At 48.9% G+C, this 19536-nt stretch overlaps 1 pseudogene, besides 1 other annotated feature; it reads right to left on the bottom strand.

The window, feature by feature from the left end:
- Positions 230-279: an enhancer, noted in NCBI's record as "active region_4254". NCBI's record gives its function as "activates an Ori minimal core promoter by ATAC-STARR-seq in GM12878 lymphoblastoid cells {active_cell/tissue: GM12878}" and the evidence as "EXISTENCE:reporter gene assay evidence [ECO:0000049][PMID:35858748]".
- OR7M1P (olfactory receptor family 7 subfamily M member 1 pseudogene) lies at positions 8956-9505 on the bottom strand (annotated as a pseudogene).

Genomic DNA, 19536 nt, shown 5'->3' with positions numbered 1-19536 from the left:
GCAAATGGTGTTTATTTGATTGCAATTTCCAATCCTTGTTATTAGTACATAAAACACTATTTATTTTTGTATGTTTTACTTTATATGACCTTGATAAACTCACTTATTAATTCAAGTAGCACTTTTAACATACATGTGATTATGTTACATTACATGGCATAGTTAACCTTAAGACAGTGAGATTTTCCTGGTAAGCCTGACCTAAGCACACAAGCTCTTCAAAAAAGAGAGGTTTTTTTTCTAGTTTCAAAAGGCAATGTAGAATAGAAGCAAACTGGTTTCACTCTCTCCCACAGAAAACCAAAAACAAAGATTATCACCAGAAATATCCCAGAACTCAAATAAAAAGATGAGACCACTTCCAGGCCCACAGAGAAGTGAAAACACTCTGAGTAGTTGGTAAGAGAACTAGACACCCACATTTGCAATGCCCCCTCCCCCATTCTGCCTGGCACCACATGTGTTGAAAAATTTCCCCAACTCATTGTTTCTACACTGAGAAAAGCAAAATGGAGGAGACAAACAGCTTCCCCACCATTTTGGGTTCCCTGGCAGGAGAACCGTCCCTACCTTAGCCCATGGGAAGCATCAAGAAGTATCCCTGAAGACAGGCAGAGACAAAGTGGGGAGGTGGGACTACCACCTCCAGCCCTGGAAACTCTGCTCTGAAACTCAGCCACAGAAGATGCAAATTACAGTGGATGTTCAGCAGCACCATGCTGTAGGAGTTTCATCCCACAGGTCCCCTGGGTACAAACCCCTAGCCAGCCTTCCCACACTACTGGGATATCCCTTTGGGACTTCCCCACCTCTAACTCGAGAAGAGCAGTGCTCTAACCATTTACTAGAGCCAAGGGGAGCTTGTTTTTAAGGTACCACCTAGAGCCATAAAGGAGGCCTGCCTATGTGACCTAGCATTAGAGAGCCTCTAAGCTTGGGAATAAGATAGCTGACTAGAGATGCCTGGTATTCATCTCCTCCCCACCCGCCACCCCAGACAAGAAGGAACCAAAGCAAAAAATAAACAGCTCAGTGTTGACTGGAGTGTTGAAGGAAGAGTGCTGGTATGCAAAAGAGGAGTGGAAATGCACCTGTGGTGATTAGAAGTCCAGGAGGGCAGTGTGGAAGCACTTGGCCTCTGAAACCCCTTGTCCCTCATCAAGATCAGAACTGCCTAATGTCAGGAGTCACTTATTGCAGATAAACAAAAGATCCCCACCATCCCTGATTGCCACTGCAAACACCTAAAGTCCTTACAACAGGAGAATCCCACCGTCACCCAGTTTGGAGAGCTGCAGGGCATTCACACAGCTTCATTGCCCTAGATTAGGAGCACAATATGTGCACTCCCCATCCCCCAACTATCCCCTGTAAGCCAGTCTGCTGCAGCAGGGCACCATCTTGAGACCAGAGTCATGTCTGGAGTGCACCCTATTCTGGAGGCCAGTATCCACTGCACCTTTCCAGCACTGGAGCTCTGTCTTTGTTCCACCAAGCCCACACTGGTGGCCGAGCACCACAATGCTGGCAGCATGAAGCCTGGGCCCAGGATTGGCTGTGACCCTGGAGAGCAGAAAAACCAACTCCTACCACCCTCACTTCCAGACAGAGGAAAAGTCTGGCAGTCCCACCCAGGGCAAAACTGCCCTTGAGCCAGCCACACTGCTGCATGCCCTCCTCCAAGTCGGAGAGGCCCTCAAGCCTCTGAGTAGCTGACACACTTCCAGGCCAGTGGAGTGGCTATGTGCCTATATTCAGGGTCTGAGTAACAGTTTTGAGGTGCCCTATTCCCTGCAGACAAGGCCCTGACTTGTCCAATGGCCCTGTGTCCACAATCAGTGGCTGAGAAACTGCTCTAGGGGCTGCCATTTGCAAAACACCCCCAGAATAACCAAGCAGTTGTGTGCCCTGGGACTGAAAAGCAGCTCAGCTGGCCAACCCTGGTGGGCAAATCCCCAGTCCAGCTGAGCAGATGTACACCCACATCCCAGGTCCAAGAAACAGCCTGGTGGCCCACCCCCAGCAGACACACACTCAGGCCAGCTGAGCAGTCATGCAGCTGTGTCCTGGGTCTGAGAAATAGTCCCATGGGCTGCCTGCAGCAGACACACCCCCAGGCCAGTCAAGCAGCCCTGTGCCTGCATACCAGGCCTGAGAAACAGCCCTGTCAGCCACCCATGGTGAGCATGCCCATAAGCTGGCCAAATATCTATGCTCATGCTCCTGGCCAGAGTAACAGCCCAGTGGCCCCAACCCCAGGGAGCCAGACCTCAAGTTGACCAGCCCATTGTGCATATGCACACACATCCCAACCTGAGAAACAGCCTGGTAAGCCTGACCTAAGTACACAAGCTCTTTAAAAAGGAGAGGGAAAGCTGCACCGCCAGTGCCACAGACTCTCTCAGACTAGGCCACTGAGAAACTTGAAACACCACTAATGTAGATTACAGCTGAAAAGACTACACAGAGACTACATTACTGCATCCATCTAGAGCCCAGGGCAATGCACCCCACTGAACTGATGCCCTGAGGCCCATTCACATGAATGAGTCTTTTGCTTCAAAACTTACTCCATACAAGCAAAAGAGGTGATTTTTTTTCCCACCAGATGTATAGAAATCAACATAGAGACACCTCAACACATTAACCTTGAAAACGCAAAGAAACATGTCACCTCCAAAGAAAAATAATAATTCTCCTATGACAGATCTCAATCATAAGGAAATATATAAAATGCCAGAAAAAGAATTCAAAATAATAATCTTAAGGAAACTCAGTGAGTTACAAGAGAATACAGATACAACATTCAATGAAATTAGAAAATAATTTATGATTTGAATAAGAAATTTAACTAAATGGTAGATATCATTAAAAAGAGCCAAATGGAAATCCTCAGCTGATGAATTCAATGAATGAAATTAAAATATACAATCAAGCACTTCAACAACAGATTAAACAAAGGAGAAGAAAGAACTTCTGTACTTGAAGATAGGTCTTTTGAAATAATACAGGCAGACAAAAAATAATTTAAAGGAATAAAGAAAGCCTGCAGGATTTATGGGACACCATTAAGCAAACAAATATTCTGGGCATTCCAGGAGGAGAAAAGAAGGGAAATGGAAAACACATTTAATGAAATAACAGCAGAAAAATCCCAAATCTTGGGAGAGGGATGAATGTCCAAGCCCAGGAAGCTCCAAGAACCCCAAATAGATTCAACCCAAACAGGTCCTCTCCAAGGCACATTATAGTCAAACTGTCAAAAGTCAAACATAAAGAATTTTTAAAGTAGCAGGAGAAAAGCATCAATTCAGATATAAGGGAATCCCAGTTTGATTAACAGCAGATTTCTCAGCAGAAACCTTACAGGTCAGAAGAGAATGAGATGATATATTCAAAGTACTGAAATAAATTTTTAAAAACCTGTCAACCAAGAATATTATATCCAGCAAATCTATCCTTCAAGAATGGAGGAGAAACAATTTTTCTTGAGAAGGAAAAATTGAGGGAATTCATCACCACTAAAGCAGTCTTACAGGAAATGCTCAAGGGAGCCTTACATTTGGAAGTGAAAAGACAATAACCCATCATGAAAACATGCAAAACTATAAAACTAACTGATATAACAAAGGGGAAAGATAAAGGAATCAAGCCTTATCACTACAGAAAACCACCCAACTGCAAAAATAAATAATAACAGATGAAGCAAGGACCAAAGAATATACAAAGCAACCAGAAAGCAATCAATAAAATAACAGGAGTAAGTTGCCACCTATCAGTAATAACTTTGAATGTAAATAGATTAAATTGCCCATTTAAAAGCTAGAGACTGGCTGAAGGACAAAAAAAAAAAAAGGCCCAACTATATGCGCTGCCTTACCTATAAAGACACACAAAGACTGAAAGTGAAGAAAGGAATGGAAAAAGATATTTCATGCAAATGAAAACCAAAAGTGCCAGAGACGGTGGCTCACATCCATATATCCAGCACTCTGGGAGGCCGAGGCAGGCAGATCACGAGGTTAGGAGTTCCAGACCAGCCTGGCCAATATGGTGAAACCCCATCTCTACTGAAAATACAAAAATAAAAATTAGCTGGGCATGGTGGCACACACCTGTAATCCCAGCTACTCAGGAGGCTGAGGCAGAAGAATCAGTTGAACCTGGGAGGAAGAGGTTGCAGTGAACCGAGAGAGTGCCTCTGCACTCCAGCCTGGGCAACAGAATGAGGCTCCGTCAAAACAAAAAACAAACAAACAACAAAAAAAACAAGCAGGAGTACCTGTATTTATATCAGAAAGTACAGATTTCAAGCTAAAAACTGTAAAAAGAGACAAAGAAGGACATTATATAATAATAAAGGGATCAGCTCATCAAGAGAACATAACAATTTTAAATATATATGCACCCAACACTAGAGCACCCAGATATATAGAGCAAATATCATTGGATCTAAAGGGAGAGGTAGACCCCACTACAATAATAGTTGGGGACTTCAGCACCCCACTCTCTGCACTGGACAGATCATCTAGACAGAAAATCAACAAAGAAACATTGGCTCTAAATTGCACCATAGAACAAATGGGTCTAATAAACCTTTACAGAACAGTTCACCCAACAGCTACATAAAACACATTCTTTTCATCACTACATGGAGCATTCTCCAGGACTGGTCATATACTAGGATACAAAACAGGTCTCAACAAATGTTTTAAATCAAAATTATATCAAATATCTTATCTGATCACAATGGAATAAAACTAAAAATCAATAACAAGAAAAACATTCAAAACTATGAAAATACATGGAAATTAAGCAGCATAATCCTGAACAAACAATGGGTGAAGGAAGAAATTAAGAATGAAATTTTAATACTTCTTGAAACAAATGAAAATAGAAACACAACGGAAAAGCAGTATTAAGAGGCAAGTTTACAGCAATAAATGCCTACGTTAAAAAAAAAAACTAGAAAGAAAATAAATGACTTAATAATGCACCTCAAGGAACTAGGAAAGCAAGAACAAACCAAACCCAAAATTAGTAGAAGAAAAGAAATAGTAAAGATCAGAGCAGAAATAAAATTAAACAAAAACACAATACAAAATAACAAAAAATGAAAAGCTGGTTTTTTGAAAAGAAAAAGTTGATAAACCGTTACCTAGACTAACATTAAGAAAAGAGAAGTCTCAAATAAATAACAGCAGCAACGAAAAAGAAGAAATCACAATGGATATCACAGAACTATCAAGGATCATTAGAGACTGCTATGAACAACTGTAGAGACTGATAAATTTCTGGACATGTACAACTTACCAAGATTAAACCAAGAAGAAATAGAAAACCTGAACAGACCAAGACAAGTAACAAGATTGAATCAGTAATAAAAAGTCCTTCAACAAAGAAAAGTCCAGTACTGGATGGCTTCACTGCTGAATCCTATAGAATTTTTAAAGAATAATTAATACTGCTTCCTCTTAAACTATTCCAAAAAATTAAAGCAGAGGGAATTCTTCCTAACTCATTCTTCAAGACCAGAATAACTTTGATACCAAAACCAGACAAGGACATAACAACAGCAAAAAGAAAACTACAGGCCAATATCTCTTGTGTACATAGATGCAAAAATCCTCAACAAAATACTAGCAAACTGAATTAAACAACACATCAAAAAACAATAACCATGCTCAAGTGGGCTTTATCCCAGGAATGCAAGGATAGTTCAACCTACACAAATCAACAAACATCATACATACATCAGTAGAATGAAGGGAAAAAAACATGATCATCTCAATAGATGCAGAAAAATGTTTTGATAAAATTCAACATCTCCTTCATGATAAAAACTCTTAATAAATTAAATATATAATCAAAGTAACTCAACATAATAAATATATATGACAAACCCACAGTTAACAGCTTATTGAATGAAGAAAAGTCGGGGGGGCATCCTTGTTTCAGTGCTTAGAGGAAAAGAAAGTTCTAACTCTTAGTACTGATAAATTTAGTAAAGTTGCAGGATTCTAATATACAAAAATCAGTAGCATTTCTATACGTGACAATACAGTTTAGATATTTGTCCCCTCCAAATCTCATGTTGAAATTTGTTCCCCAATGTTGGAGGTGGGGCCTAATGGCAGGTATTTGGAGCATGGGAGCAGATCCCTAATGAATGTCTTGGTGCCATCTTCATGGTAATGAGCAAGAACTGATTATATTTTAAAAGCCTGGCACCTTTCTTCCATCTTTCTCTCTCCCTTCACCTCACCATGTGAGGCAGCTCCGTCTTGCCTTCTTCCATGAGTGGAAGCTTTGAGGCCCTCACCAGAAGCATATGCTAGTGCCATGCTTCTGTTACAGCCTGCAGAACTGTGAGCCAAATAAACCTAATTTCTTCATAAATTACCCAACCTCAGGTATTCCTTTATAGCAACACAAATGGATTAAGGCACATGAACAATGAACTAGCTGAAAAAGAAATCAAGAAAGCAATCCCATTTACAATAGATACAAAAAAACAGTGCCTAGGAACAAATTTAGCCAAGGAAGTAAAAGATCTCTACAGGGAAAACTACAAAATATTGATAACAAAATTGAAGAGGATACAAATAGAGAGATATCTCATGCTTATGGATAGGAGAATGACAATACTACCCAAGGCAATCTACAGATTCAGTGCTATCTCTACCAAAATACCAATGACATTCCTACAGAACTAGAAAAAAAATCATAAAATTTGTATGGAATCACAAAATATCCCGAATAGCCAAAGCAATCCTGAGCAAAAGGAACAAAGCTGAAGCTATCATCACATTAGCAGACCTCAAAATATACTACAAAGCTGCAGTAACCAAAACAGCAATGGCATGGTACTGGCATAAAAACAGACACATAGACCAATGGAACAGAATGGAGAACCCAGAAATTAATCCACATATCTACAGCCAACTGATTTTTGACAAAGGTGCCAAGAATATTCACTGAGGAAAGGACAGCTTCTTTAATAAATGGTACTGGGAAAACTAGATATTCACATGCAGAAGAATAAAACTAGACCCCTTTCTACTCTATACAAAAATCAACTCAAAATGAATCAAAGATCTAAATGTAAGACCCAAAACTATAAAACTGCTAGAAGAAAACATAGGGTAAATGCTTCAGAACATTGGTCTGAAAAAAAAGATTTTATGAATAAGACCTTGAAATCACAAGCAACAAAAGCAAAAATTAACAAATAGTGTTATATCAAACTAAAAGATTTTTACATGGTGAAGGAAACAATCAAAAGAGTGGTGAGACAACCTATAGAATGGGAGAAAATATCTGCAAACCAATCATCCAAGAAGTGATTAATATCCAGAATATAAAAGAAGCTGCAACATCTCAACAGAAAAAAAAAGATTTAAAAATGGGCAAATGATCTGAATAGACATTTCTCAAAAGAAGACATGCAAATAGACAACAGGTATGTAAAAAAAATGCTCAACATCAAGAATCATCAGGGAGACACAAATCAAAACCACAATGAGATGTCATCTCATCCCAGTTAGGACGGTTATTATCAAAAAGACAAAAAAATAACAAATGGCGGCAAGAGCGCAGATAAAAGGGAACTCTCGTGCACTGTTAGTGGATATGTAAATTAGTACAGCCATCATGGCAAACAGTATGGAGGTTTCTCAAAAACTAAAAATAGAACTACCATATGAACCAGCAATCCCACTGGGTATTTATCCAAAGGAAAAGAAATCAGTATATCAAAGGGATACCTGTACCCCCATGTTTATTGCAGCACTATTCACAATAGCCAAGATATGGAATCAACCTAAGTGTCCATCAATGAATGAAGGGATAAGGAAAATGTGGTATATATACACAATGGAATACTATTCAGCCATAAAAAAGAATGAAATCTTATCATGTGCAGCAACATGGATGGAACTGGAGGTCATTATGACAAGTGAAATAAGCTGGCCATAGAAAGACAAATATTGCATGTTCTCACTCACATGTGGGAGCTTAAAAAGTTGATCTCATGGAGGTAGAGGGTAAAATGATAGTTACCAGATGCTGGGAAGAGTGTGGGGGAAGGGGATGAACAGAGGTTGTTAAGGGGTACAAACATACAATTAGACAGAAGGATCTGATCATCACACACGGGTACCCGATTTGATCATCACACATGGGCACCTGATTTGATAATTACATTACTCAGCAAACGTACACCCTTATTTATGCATTTTGTTGTTTGAAAATATTACCTTAAAAGGAAAAATAACTATAAACAAATGTTTAATGATATGCACGCAGAAGTATTTAAGAAGTGAAATGATGTTTGCAACTGGCTTTGAAATGCATAAAATAGATGGATTGGTGATGGACACAAGGATAATCAATTAAACAAAGATAATAAGTTAATGACAGAATGTAGGTGATTGGTGCATAAATTAAAGAATGAGAATGCCCTTCTCTGAAAGGAAGTAAATCAGTAAAGCCCCATGTATTTCCTGCAGGTCATTAAAAAGAAAGGCTGGATAACCCCATCTCTCACCCTTTATGGTGCCAGGACCACGAAACCTCACACAGGGAGGAGAGCATTTCTCATGTTTTCCTTGACCTCACACCAAGAGGAGTTGGGTTGGAGAGTCGGGGTTTGGGTGATTTTCTCCAAAGCAGGATATCAAGAAATGCCCCCACCCCGTCAACATAGACCAGGCAGTGTGCACAGTGGGCATATGTGACTCTCGACCCATCCCCGGGCAAGAACCCCTGACTAAACGAAGACACGGCCAGCGGCACCCCCAAGGTGAATGCTCCCACATTGCTCCTGGGACCCAGTTGCCAGTGAAAGGGAGTCAAGCAGGTGCATGGGGTGTCGGAGGGTGTTAAGTGGCCCTTTTGGGCTCCTGCTCAACTAGCCGCTGGCCCTCCCTTAGCTCCCTGCTGCCTTGTAGCCCTGACTGCACCTACCCATACAGCCTTGGGATGTTGGGAGTTCCACATTGAATGATGGCAGCCCCGTGCGGGAGCACATTATTTATAAATATGTGGCATTAATTACTTTCTTGTTCCTTGCTGCTTGCATGAGATTCTCAAAGTCATATGTTGAAATTAGTTTGTTAACACCTGGAACATTTCACACTAGAAACTTCCCTTCCTTTTACCTGATGCAAGAAAACACTCTCCTCAGTGCTACTGATAAGTCCTTGTTCCGCAGGGAGTAGGTGAGGGGTTCAGGGTGGGGCTGACCACTGTGTACAGCACAGCCACCACTCTGCTGTTGTCCATGGATGTGCAGACGATGTCTAAAAGGGCCAGGTTGGTGAGAAAGAAGTACACTGGCGTGTGGAGGCCTGGATTCAGACTGATGGCCATGACCATGAGGATGTTTCCTACAAGTGCCATCAGGTAAAGGAGGAAAAAAGCAAAGCAGCAGCCCTGGAGTGGAAGGTCTTCAGAGAAACCCTGCAGGACAAACGCCTCTACGCTGTGTGGTTGTCTGCTGCCATTAGGAGCGCGAGGCCCTCAGGGGTCACTGGGCACAGCTAGTGCCACCAGCCCAGGAACAGGGTGGCCAGGCGACCTGTCCTCTTGCTCGCCGTCCTGCTGAGACTCTCTGGGACCTGTCCGCTTGCTCGCTGTCCTGCTGAGACTCTCTGGGACCTGTCCTCTTGCTCGCCATCCTGCTGAGACTCTCTGGGACCTGTCCGCTTGCTCGCTGTCCTGCTGAGACTCTCTGGGACCTGTCGGCTTGCTCGCTGTCCTGCTGAGACTCTCTGGGACCTGTCCCCTTGCTCGCTGTCCTGCTGAGACTCTCTGGGACCTGTCCCCTTGCTCGCTGTCCTGCTGAGACTCTCTGGGACCTGTCCGCTTGCTCGCTGTCCTGCTGAGACTCTCTGGGACCTGTCCGCTTGCTCGCTGTCCTGCTGAGACTCTCTGGGACCTGTCCGCTTGCTCGCTGTTCTGCTGAGACTCTCTGGGACCTGTCCCCTTGCTCGCTGTCCTGCTGAGACTCTCTGGGACCTGTCCCCTTGCTCGCTGTCCTGCTGAGACTCTCTGGGACCTGTCCCCTTGCTCGCTGTCCTGCTGAGACTCTCTGGGACCTGTCCCCTTGCTCGCTGTCCTGCTGACACTCTCTGGGACCTGTCCCCTTGCTCGCTGTCCTGCTGAGACGCTCTGGGACCTGTCCGCTTGCTCGCTGTCCTGCTGAGACTCTCTGGGACCTGTCCCCTTGCTCGCTGTCCTGCTGAGACTCTCTGGGACCTGTCCCCTTGCTCGCTGTCCTGCTGAGACTCTCTGGGACCTGTCCCCTTGCTCGCTGTCCTGCTGACACTCTCTGGGACCTGTCCCCTTGCTCGCTGTCCTGCTGAGACGCTCTGGGACCTGTCCGCTTGCTTGCTGTCCTGCTGAGACTCTCTGGGACCTGTCCGCTTGCTCGCTGTCCTGCTGAGACTCTCTGGGACCTGTCCGCTTGCTCGCTGTCCTGCTGACACTCTCTGGGACCTGTCCGCTTGCTCGCTGTCCTGCTGAGACTCTCTGGGACCTGTCCCCTTGCTCGCTGTCCTGCTGACACTCTCTGGGACCTGTCCGCTTGCTCGCTGTCCTGCTGACACTCTCTGGGACCTGTCCGCTTGCTCGCTGTCCTGCTGAGACTCTCTGGGACCTGTCCCCTTGCTCGCTGTCCTGCTGAGACTCTCTGGGACCTGTCCGCTTGCTCGCTGTCCTGCTGACACTCTCTGGGACCTGTCCCCTTGCTCGCTGTCTTGCTGAGACTCTGGGACCTGTCCGCTTGCTCGCTGTCCTGCTGAGACTCTCTGGGACCTGTCGGCTTGCTCGCTGTCCTGCTGAGACTCTCTGGGACCTGTCCCCTTGCTCGCTGTCCTGCTGAGACTCTCTGGGACCTGTCCCCTTGCTCGCTGTCCTGCTGAGACTCTCTGGGACCTGTCCGCTTGCTCGCTGTCCTGCTGAGACTCTCTGGGACCTGTCCCCTTGCTCGCTGTCTTGCTGAGACTCTGGGACCTGTCCGCTTGCTCGCTGTCCTGCTGACACTCTCTGGGACCTGTCCGCTTGCTCGCTGTCCTGCTGAGACTCTCTGGGACCTGTCCCCTTGCTCGCTGTCCTGCTGAGACTCTCTGGGACCTGTCCGCTTGCTCGCTGTCCTGCTGACACTCTCTGGGACCTGTCCCCTTGCTCGCTGTCTTGCTGAGACTCTGGGACCTGTCCGCTTGCTCGCTGTCCTGCTGAGACTCTCTGGGACCTGTCGGCTTGCTCGCTGTCCTGCTGAGACTCTCTGGGACCTGTCCGCTTGCTCGCTGTCCTGCTGAGACTCTCTGGGACCTGTCCGCTTGCTCGCTGTCCTGCTGAGACTCTCTGGGACCTGTCCCCTTGCTCGCTGTCTTGCTGAGACTCTGGGACCTGTCCGCTTGCTTGCTGTCCTGCTGAGACTCTCTGGGACCTGTCGGCTTGCTCGCTGTCCTGCTGAGACTCTCTGGGACCTGTCCGCTTGCTCGCTGTCCTGCTGAGACTCTCTGGGACCTGTCCCCTTGCTCGCTGTCCTGCTGAGACTCTCTGGGACCTGTCCCCTTGCTCGCTGTCCTGCTGAGACTCTCTGGGACCTGTCCCCTTGCTCGCTGTCCTGCTGAGACTCTCTGGGACCTGTCCGCTTGCTCGCTGTCCTGCTGAGACTCTCTGGGACCTGTCCGCTTGCTCGCTGTCCTGCTGAGACTCTCTGGGACCTGTCCGCTTGCTCGCTGTCCTGCTGAGACTCTCTGGGACCTGTCCGCTTGCTCGCTGTCCTGCTGAGACTCTCTGGGACCTGTCCGCTTGCTCGCTGTCCTGCTGAGACTCTCTGGGACCTGTCCGCTTGCTCGCTGTCCTGCTGAGACTCTCTGGGACCTGTCCCCTTGCTCGCTGTCCTGCTGAGACGCTCTGGGACCTGTCGGCTTGCTCGCTGTCCTGCTGAGACTCTCTGGGACCTGTCCCCTTGCTCGCTGTCCTGCTGAGACTCTCTGGGACCTGTCCCCTTGCTCGCTGTCCTGCTGAGACTCTCTGGGACCTGTCCCCTTGCTCGCTGTCCTGCTGACACTCTCTGGGACCTGTCCCCTTGCTCGCTGTCCTGCTGAGACGCTCTGGGACCTGTCCGCTTGCTCGCTGTCCTGCTGAGACTCTCTGGGACCTGTCCCCTTGCTCGCTGTCCTGCTGAGACTCTCTGGGACCTGTCCCCTTGCTCGCTGTCCTGCTGAGACTCTCTGGGACCTGTCCCCTTGCTCGCTGTCCTGCTGACACTCTCTGGGACCTGTCCCCTTGCTCGCTGTCCTGCTGAGACGCTCTGGGACCTGTCCGCTTGCTCGCTGTCCTGCTGAGACTCTCTGGGACCTGTCCGCTTGCTCGCTGTCCTGCTGAGACTCTCTGGGACCTGTCCGCTTGCTCGCTGTCCTGCTGACACTCTCTGGGACCTGTCCGCTTGCTCGCTGTCCTGCTGAGACTCTCTGGGACCTGTCCCCTTGCTCGCTGTCCTGCTGAGACTCTCTGGGACCTGTCCGCTTGCTCGCTGTCCTGCTGACACTCTCTGGGACCTGTCCGCTTGCTCGCTGTCCTGCTGAGACTCTCTGGGACCTGTCCCCTTGCTCGCTGTCTTGCTGAGACTCTGGGACCTGTCCGCTTGCTCGCTGTCCTGCTGAGACTCTCTGGGACCTGTCGGCTTGCTCGCTGTCCTGCTGAGACTCTCTGGGACCTGTCCGCTTGCTCGCTGTCCTGCTGAGACTCTCTGGGACCTGTCGGCTTGCTCGCTGTCCTGCTGAGACTCTCTGGGACCTGTCCCCTTGCTCGCTGTCCTGCTGAGACTCTCTGGGACCTGTCCCCTTGCTCGCTGTCCTGCTGAGACTCTCTGGGACCTGTCCGCTTGCTCGCTGTCCTGCTGAGACTCTCTGGGACCTGTCCCCTTGCTCGCTGTCTTGCTGAGACTCTGGGACCTGTCCGCTTGCTCGCTGTCCTGCTGACACTCTCTGGGACCTGTCCGCTTGCTCGCTGTCCTGCTGAGACTCTCTGGGACCTGTCCCCTTGCTCGCTGTCCTGCTGAGACTCTCTGGGACCTGTCCGCTTGCTCGCTGTCCTGCTGACACTCTCTGGGACCTGTCCGCTTGCTCGCTGTCCTGCTGAGACTCTCTGGGACCTGTCCCCTTGCTCGCTGTCTTGCTGAGACTCTGGGACCTGTCTGCTTGCTCGCTGTCCTGCTGAGACTCTCTGGGACCTGTCGGCTTGCTCGCTGTCCTGCTGAGACTCTCTGGAACCTGTCCGCTTGCTCGCTGTCCTGCTGAGACTCTCTGGGACCTGTCCCCTTGCTCGCTGTCCTGCTGAGACTCTCTGGGACCTGTCCGCTTGCTCGCTGTCCTGCTGAGACTCTCTGGGACCTGTCCCCTTGCTCGCTGTCTTGCTGAGACTCTGGGACCTGTCCGCTTGCTCGCTGTCCTGCTGAGACTCTCTGGGACCTGTCGGCTTGCTCGCTGTCCTGCTGAGACTCTCTGGGACCTGTCCGCTTGCTCGCTGTCCTGCTGAGATTCTCTGGGACCTGTCCGCTTGCTCGCTGTCCTGCTGAGACTCTCTGGGACCTGTCCGCTTGCTCGCTGTCCTGCTGAGACTCTCTGGGACCTGTCCGCTTGCTCGCTGTCCTGCTGAGACTCTCTGGGACCTGTCCCCTTGCTCGCTGTCCTGCTGAGTCGCTCTGCGACCTGTCCGCTTGCTCGCTGTCCTGCTGAGACTCTCTGGGACCTGTCCCCTTGTTCGCTGTCCTGCTGAGACTCTCTGGGAAAGTTTGCTGTTGGCAACTTTGCTGCAGAAAGCACATAATTAAGATGTTAACATGGGTCCCTGCGCCCAGGGAGAATCAGAGCATTAACCCTCCACTCTGCGAGGGAGTCAACAAGCCCAGCGTCACTCACCCCCGAGGACAGTGCTCCCTGCCGGCCTGCAGCGGGGCTGGCATCACAGTAAATAACAAAAATGCAGCAAGAGCCTCTCATTGCTTTGATTTTAAACATTTCCTCCATTATTCCAGCACACAGAAGCTCGTGGTGTGCAAGTGTGTTTGGCCCCCGAGGCAGGTGGAGACCACATCAGTGACCTGGGCACAAGATTCTGGGTCGCGGAGAAGGAAAACCACCCAGCAGGCATGGGCTTTATGGAGAGTTAGCGTCAGGACAGCACAGGTTTCACCTGCAGAGGCTGTGAGGGGCACTCTCCAAAGGGAGGCATGTGGGGACATCAGGGCAGTGAGTGGCTCCAACTACCACCAGGCCAGACTCCAGCTCTTTTGGCCAGGTGACCTCAGCTGTCAGATTTCAGCTGTAGGTTGACCTGGCCACAGCTCCTTAGTAGAAACCATGACTGCGGCCCTACCTCAGCCACCCCAGGCCGCTCCCTCAGGAGGGCAGACTCCATGCAGAAGCGGGCATGGACTGGCCATTCCTGTTCCTGGTCTGGGTGGGAGGTTTGTTCCATCAGGGGGTGTCAGGCTGTGTCCGAGACTGGATACATCAAAGAAAGGCACAGACCCAGCCTCGGTGCAGCCCCTAATCCAGTGCCTCCACTCAACCAACCTCACATACCTCTCCCACCACCCATCTCTGACCACCTAGCCTCCTCGGGCAGGACAGGCCCAGCCCAGGGCAAGGAGAGGCGGCTTAGTCAACATCAGAGGAAACAAGGCCAAACCCACTTCCTTCCCAGCCCAGGAGGCACCCAGCCCAGGTAGTCTTCAACCCAGGCAGCCTTCAGCTGCAGTCCTCAGCCCAGGCAGTCCTCAGCCCAGGCAGTCCTCAGCCCAGGCAGTCCCCCCAGCCCAGGCAGTCCCTCAGCCCAGGCAGTCCTCAGCCCAGGCAGTCCCCCCAGCCCAGGCAGCCCTCAGCCCAGGCAGTCCCCCCAGCCCAGGCAGTCCTCAGCCCAGGCAGCCCTCAGCCCAGGCAGTCCCCCCAGCCCAGGCAGTCCCTCAGCCCAGGCAGTCCTCAGCCCAGGCAGCCCTCAGCTCAGGCAGTCCCAAAGACCTCCTGGCTGCCCAGTCTGAGGCCCGAAATCCATCCTCCATCACAGGAGCCCCATTTGCCTGTGAAACCAAGGGCAGGTGGAGCCTTGCACCAGATTCACAGGAAGCTTCCAGGCCCCTCTTACAGATCCTGATCTGCCTTAAAGGCCAAACCACGGGGCTCCGGCTTCTTGCTCACCTGATCGAGGGCACAGATAGGGCACAGTGCAGGCCCACAGAGGTTCCCAGGCACTTAGAGTTTCAAACGGAAACCCTCAACACAACAGCAAAGCAATTTCAGCAACATTTTTTCCACATTAATGTAGGTCAGGGCAGGGTAGAATCAGATCTGACTTTTCAAAAACATTGAAAGGAAAATTAGGTGGGTCATCCATGTGGAAGGCAGGCATGGAGGGTTGCAGCCACTCACTGAGTGAGGAGTGTGGCTAGGCCAGCTCCTGTCTAAATGGGAGCCCACATGTCCATGGACATGATGGTGCCTCAAGGCTGACGCCCGTCTCTTCCCAGTCAGTGTCTCCTGTGTTTGATGCTGACCTTTGAGTGAAGTCTGTCCCCTCGGGGTGGATGCTGAGGTTGCTACAGAGGCCCACGTGTCCCCAGGAGCGGCTCTCAGGGAGCAATTACCCCACTCGGAGGTAGAAAGGGGTCCCCATGGGAACCGCCCCCAGGCTCGAGCAGAGACAGGCCAGGGCACCTGCAGGGCTTCTGGGTGATGGACCTGGGGAGATCAATTCCAGAGCTGGTGGCTTCTCCCCAGCACCTCTGCCCTGGGCACACAAGGGCCATGTGCAACCCTCCCTGCAGGAGGATGGAATTTTATTTAAATAGACTTAATCTTTTAGAATAGTTTTAAATTTGCCCCCACCCAGTTTCCCGTTACTGACATCTCCCATTAGCATGTGTTACATTAATGTGCCAGTATCGATCCTATACTGTCAACTGCAATCCATGGCTGATTCCCAGTTCCTCCGTGTTCCCCTAACGTCCTTCTGTCCACATCACAGTTAGGAGTTTCCTTAGGCTTCTCTTGACTGCAGCATTTTCTCAGACTTTCCTTGCTTTTGATGAACTTGGTAGTTTTGGAGAATATTGGCCAGGTATTTTGTATCTTCCAGGTATTCCCTTGACTGGGATTCGCCTGATTATTTTTTTACTCATGATGAAAGTTACGGGTTTTGGGGCGGAAAGACACAGAGGCACGTGACATTCTCATCACACCACACCGGGATGCACACTGTCAGCATGTCTGGCTGTTGATGTGAACTCGGGAAGGTAAATATTTTCATCACAATTCTTATGTGCCCATCCAGACGCTGAGGTGGCCTGCAGTGTCCAGGGAGACACTGTCCTGACTTCAAGGATGGAGCATCCAAAGGGTCTGAGGAGACTAAGAGTCTTCTGGCAGGCTGAAGCCCAGACCCCCACTCTGCACTCAGCAGGCCTGGCCACGTAGATGAGGCATTGTGAGCCCATGGGGGTTGACTCACTTCCTTGTTTGGGCCAAAGGCCCACAACTGATTGGTAAAGCAGTGTAGGTGGTCACAGCAAGTGCCCACAGGTAGAACTGAGATGATAATTGTGCTCAGGAGAAACCTAGCAATTTATCTTAGAGACCAAGTGCAGAAAATAAGACATGGAGAAAACAGTCATTGCAAAAGAACCAGAGACGTGGCCATGGCTGATTTAAAGTGCTTCTTAATTTCATCACAGGAAGACAACTGGCCCCTTTAATTTTCCAAACCTTCTAACATCCTTCAACTCAATCAATCGGCACATGTTTTTAATCTCTGGCCAATGATTATCTATTTTCCATGACAGTATATGTAATAGCATTTCAGCAACCCAAGATTTGAACACTTCCTCTAATTTATTCAAATGTGTTATAACCTTCAGCTATGCCGGATTTTCCTAATCAAACACACCACTTTTCTTTAAAAATAATGTTGATTTATAAAAACATTCAGTATCAAAGGTCACTGCAACACTGATTTAAGGTTATTTCATGGCCCACAATAAGTAACCATATTTGTAGCATTTAAACCTCAAAATCCAAGCTAAGTGGTAAGATGTGGGAGCACCTGCTACATACCTGGAATTGTCCTAGGGCTACGGGGATCCTCAAAGCCCAATGAGAGTCCCTCATCTTCCAACGTTTTGGGATCCTCAGGCAGCAGGGCCATCCCCAGCAAGACTCAGCAGGTCTGAGCCACCTGACCACCGTCAACCAGGCACTCCCTGGGGGACCCTGTGCTCAGCCTATGGGAAACAAGCTAAGCAAAGGAGCTTCTTCAACTCTGGGGTCGGTGAGACACCCACCAACAATTAGACACAGGATGTTCCCTTGGGAGGGGTCTCTGTATTCATCTGTTCTCACACTGCTATAAAAAAATACCTGAGACTCTGTAATTTTTAAGAAAAAAAGGTTTAATTGGCTCATGGTTCTGCAGGCTGTACAGGAAGGAGAGTGGTATCTGCTTCTGGGGAGGCCTCAGGAAGTTTCCAGTCATGGTGGAAGGTGAAGGGGGAGCAGGTGCCTCACATGGCAAAAGAGGAACAAGAAAGAGGGGGAGACACCACACTCAATGACCAAATCTCAGGAGGGAGATGCCACACTCAACTGAACACATCTCAGGACGGAGACGCCACACTCAACAACTTACATCCCAGGAGGGAGACGCCACACTTTCCACTGACCAGATCTCAGGAGGGAGACACCATACTCAATGACCAGATCTCAGGAGGGAGACGCCACACTCAACGACCAGATCTCAGGAGGGAGACGCCACACTCAACGACCAGATCTCAGGAGGGAGACGCCACACTTTCCACTGACCAGATCTCAGGAGGGAGACGCCACACTTTCAACTGACCAGATCTCAGGAGGGAGACGCCACACTTTCCACTGACCAGATCTCAGGAGGGAGACGCCACACTTTCAACTGACCAGATCTCAGAAGGGAGACGCCACACTCAACGACCAGATCTCAGGAGGGAGACGCCACACTCAACTGACCAGACCTCAGGAGGGAGACGCCACACTCAACTGACCAGATCTCAGGAGGGAGACGCCACACTCAACTGACCAGATCTCAGGAGGGAGACGCCACACTCAACTGACCAGACCTCAGGAGGGAGACGCCACACTCAACTGACCAGACCTCAGGAGGGAGACGCCACACTCAACTGACCAGATCTCAGGAGGGAGACGCCACACTCAATGACCAGATCTCAGGACGGAGACGCCACACTTTCAACTGACCAGATCTCAGGAGGGAGATGCCACACTCAACTGACCAGACCTCAGGAGGGAGACGCCACACTCAACGACTAGATCTCAGGAGGGAGACGCCGCACTCAACAACCAGATCTCAGGAGGGAGACACCACATTCATCACCGTCTAATAATTTTGCTAAAATTCTCATTTTTTCTACATACTATTCTTTTCAGTAAAGTTAATTCATTATGTGTATAATTACTAAGCTAATATCTTTAATTTTTTAAGACTTTACACAAATAAACTCATAAGTAAGGAGCCCTCCTTTGTCAGCTCACACAGGCTGGTGATGGTTTAGGCAGTCACTCACCATCATCCTATCCAATCTGCTGCTAACCCAGAAGTTCCAACTGTGCTGATTTTGCCCCCAGGAAACATTTGGTGACGTCTGGAGACATTTTTTTATTGTCACAACTGGAAGGGGGCTGCCACTGGTGCCTGGTGGGTGGAGGCCAGGGATGCTGCTCAGCACCTGTGATGCACAGGATGGCCCCACGCAGAGAACAACCCAGCCCCAAGGTCAGTAGCGCCAAGGCTGGGGGCTGCTCTGCTGGCACGTGGACTCTTAACACTGAATTGTCATAGCAAATGCATTCTCTCCCCAACTCTCCAGCCCCACACGGCTGGGGCAGACACACCTCCCTCTGCCATTTTCCTCTCCAGGACACCTCTTCCCACAGGCCTGGGTGCCTTTGATACTTCCTAAGAGCCAGAGCCTCCCAGTCTCCCAGACTTTGCTCCTGCCCCACAGCCTCTTGGGCAACATCTGAGCCGCCAGCCCACCAAGAGCAAAGATCAGCAATGGCCCAAAGTACAATGGGGGCCGCTGTCAGGGTGGGGTCCCCTGTGTGCCCAATGGGACACCTGGCTCAGCTCTGTGAGTCTTGTGGGGAGACAGCCCAGAGGGAGGAAGGTGCTTAGTGTGGCCTGGCCCCCAAGCCCACATCTGGACCTGGCTGAGGCCATCCTGCAGGACTTGATTGAACACTTTCTTCCTGTGTTCCTGCTGTGGGGAGGACCCCTCAGTACCAGGGCCACAGTTGGAAAGGACCACCCCAGGGGAGCTCATGAGAATGCTCAAAACTCAAACAACCCAATAAAGCATGAGCAAAAATGTTGAACAGACACTTCAACAGAGTACATATACAGATGGCAAATAAACACATGAAAAGGTGTTCAATATCATTAGTCCTTAGGTAAATGCAAATTAAAACCACAAGGACACAG

The sequence above is a fragment of the Homo sapiens genome, chromosome 10 (assembly GCF_000001405.40).
Source record: "Homo sapiens chromosome 10, GRCh38.p14 Primary Assembly".
NCBI classification, from domain to species: domain Eukaryota; kingdom Metazoa; phylum Chordata; class Mammalia; order Primates; family Hominidae; genus Homo; species Homo sapiens.
The sequence above is the reverse complement of the archived record's forward strand: the minus strand, read 5'-3'. Positions and strand labels throughout refer to the sequence as shown.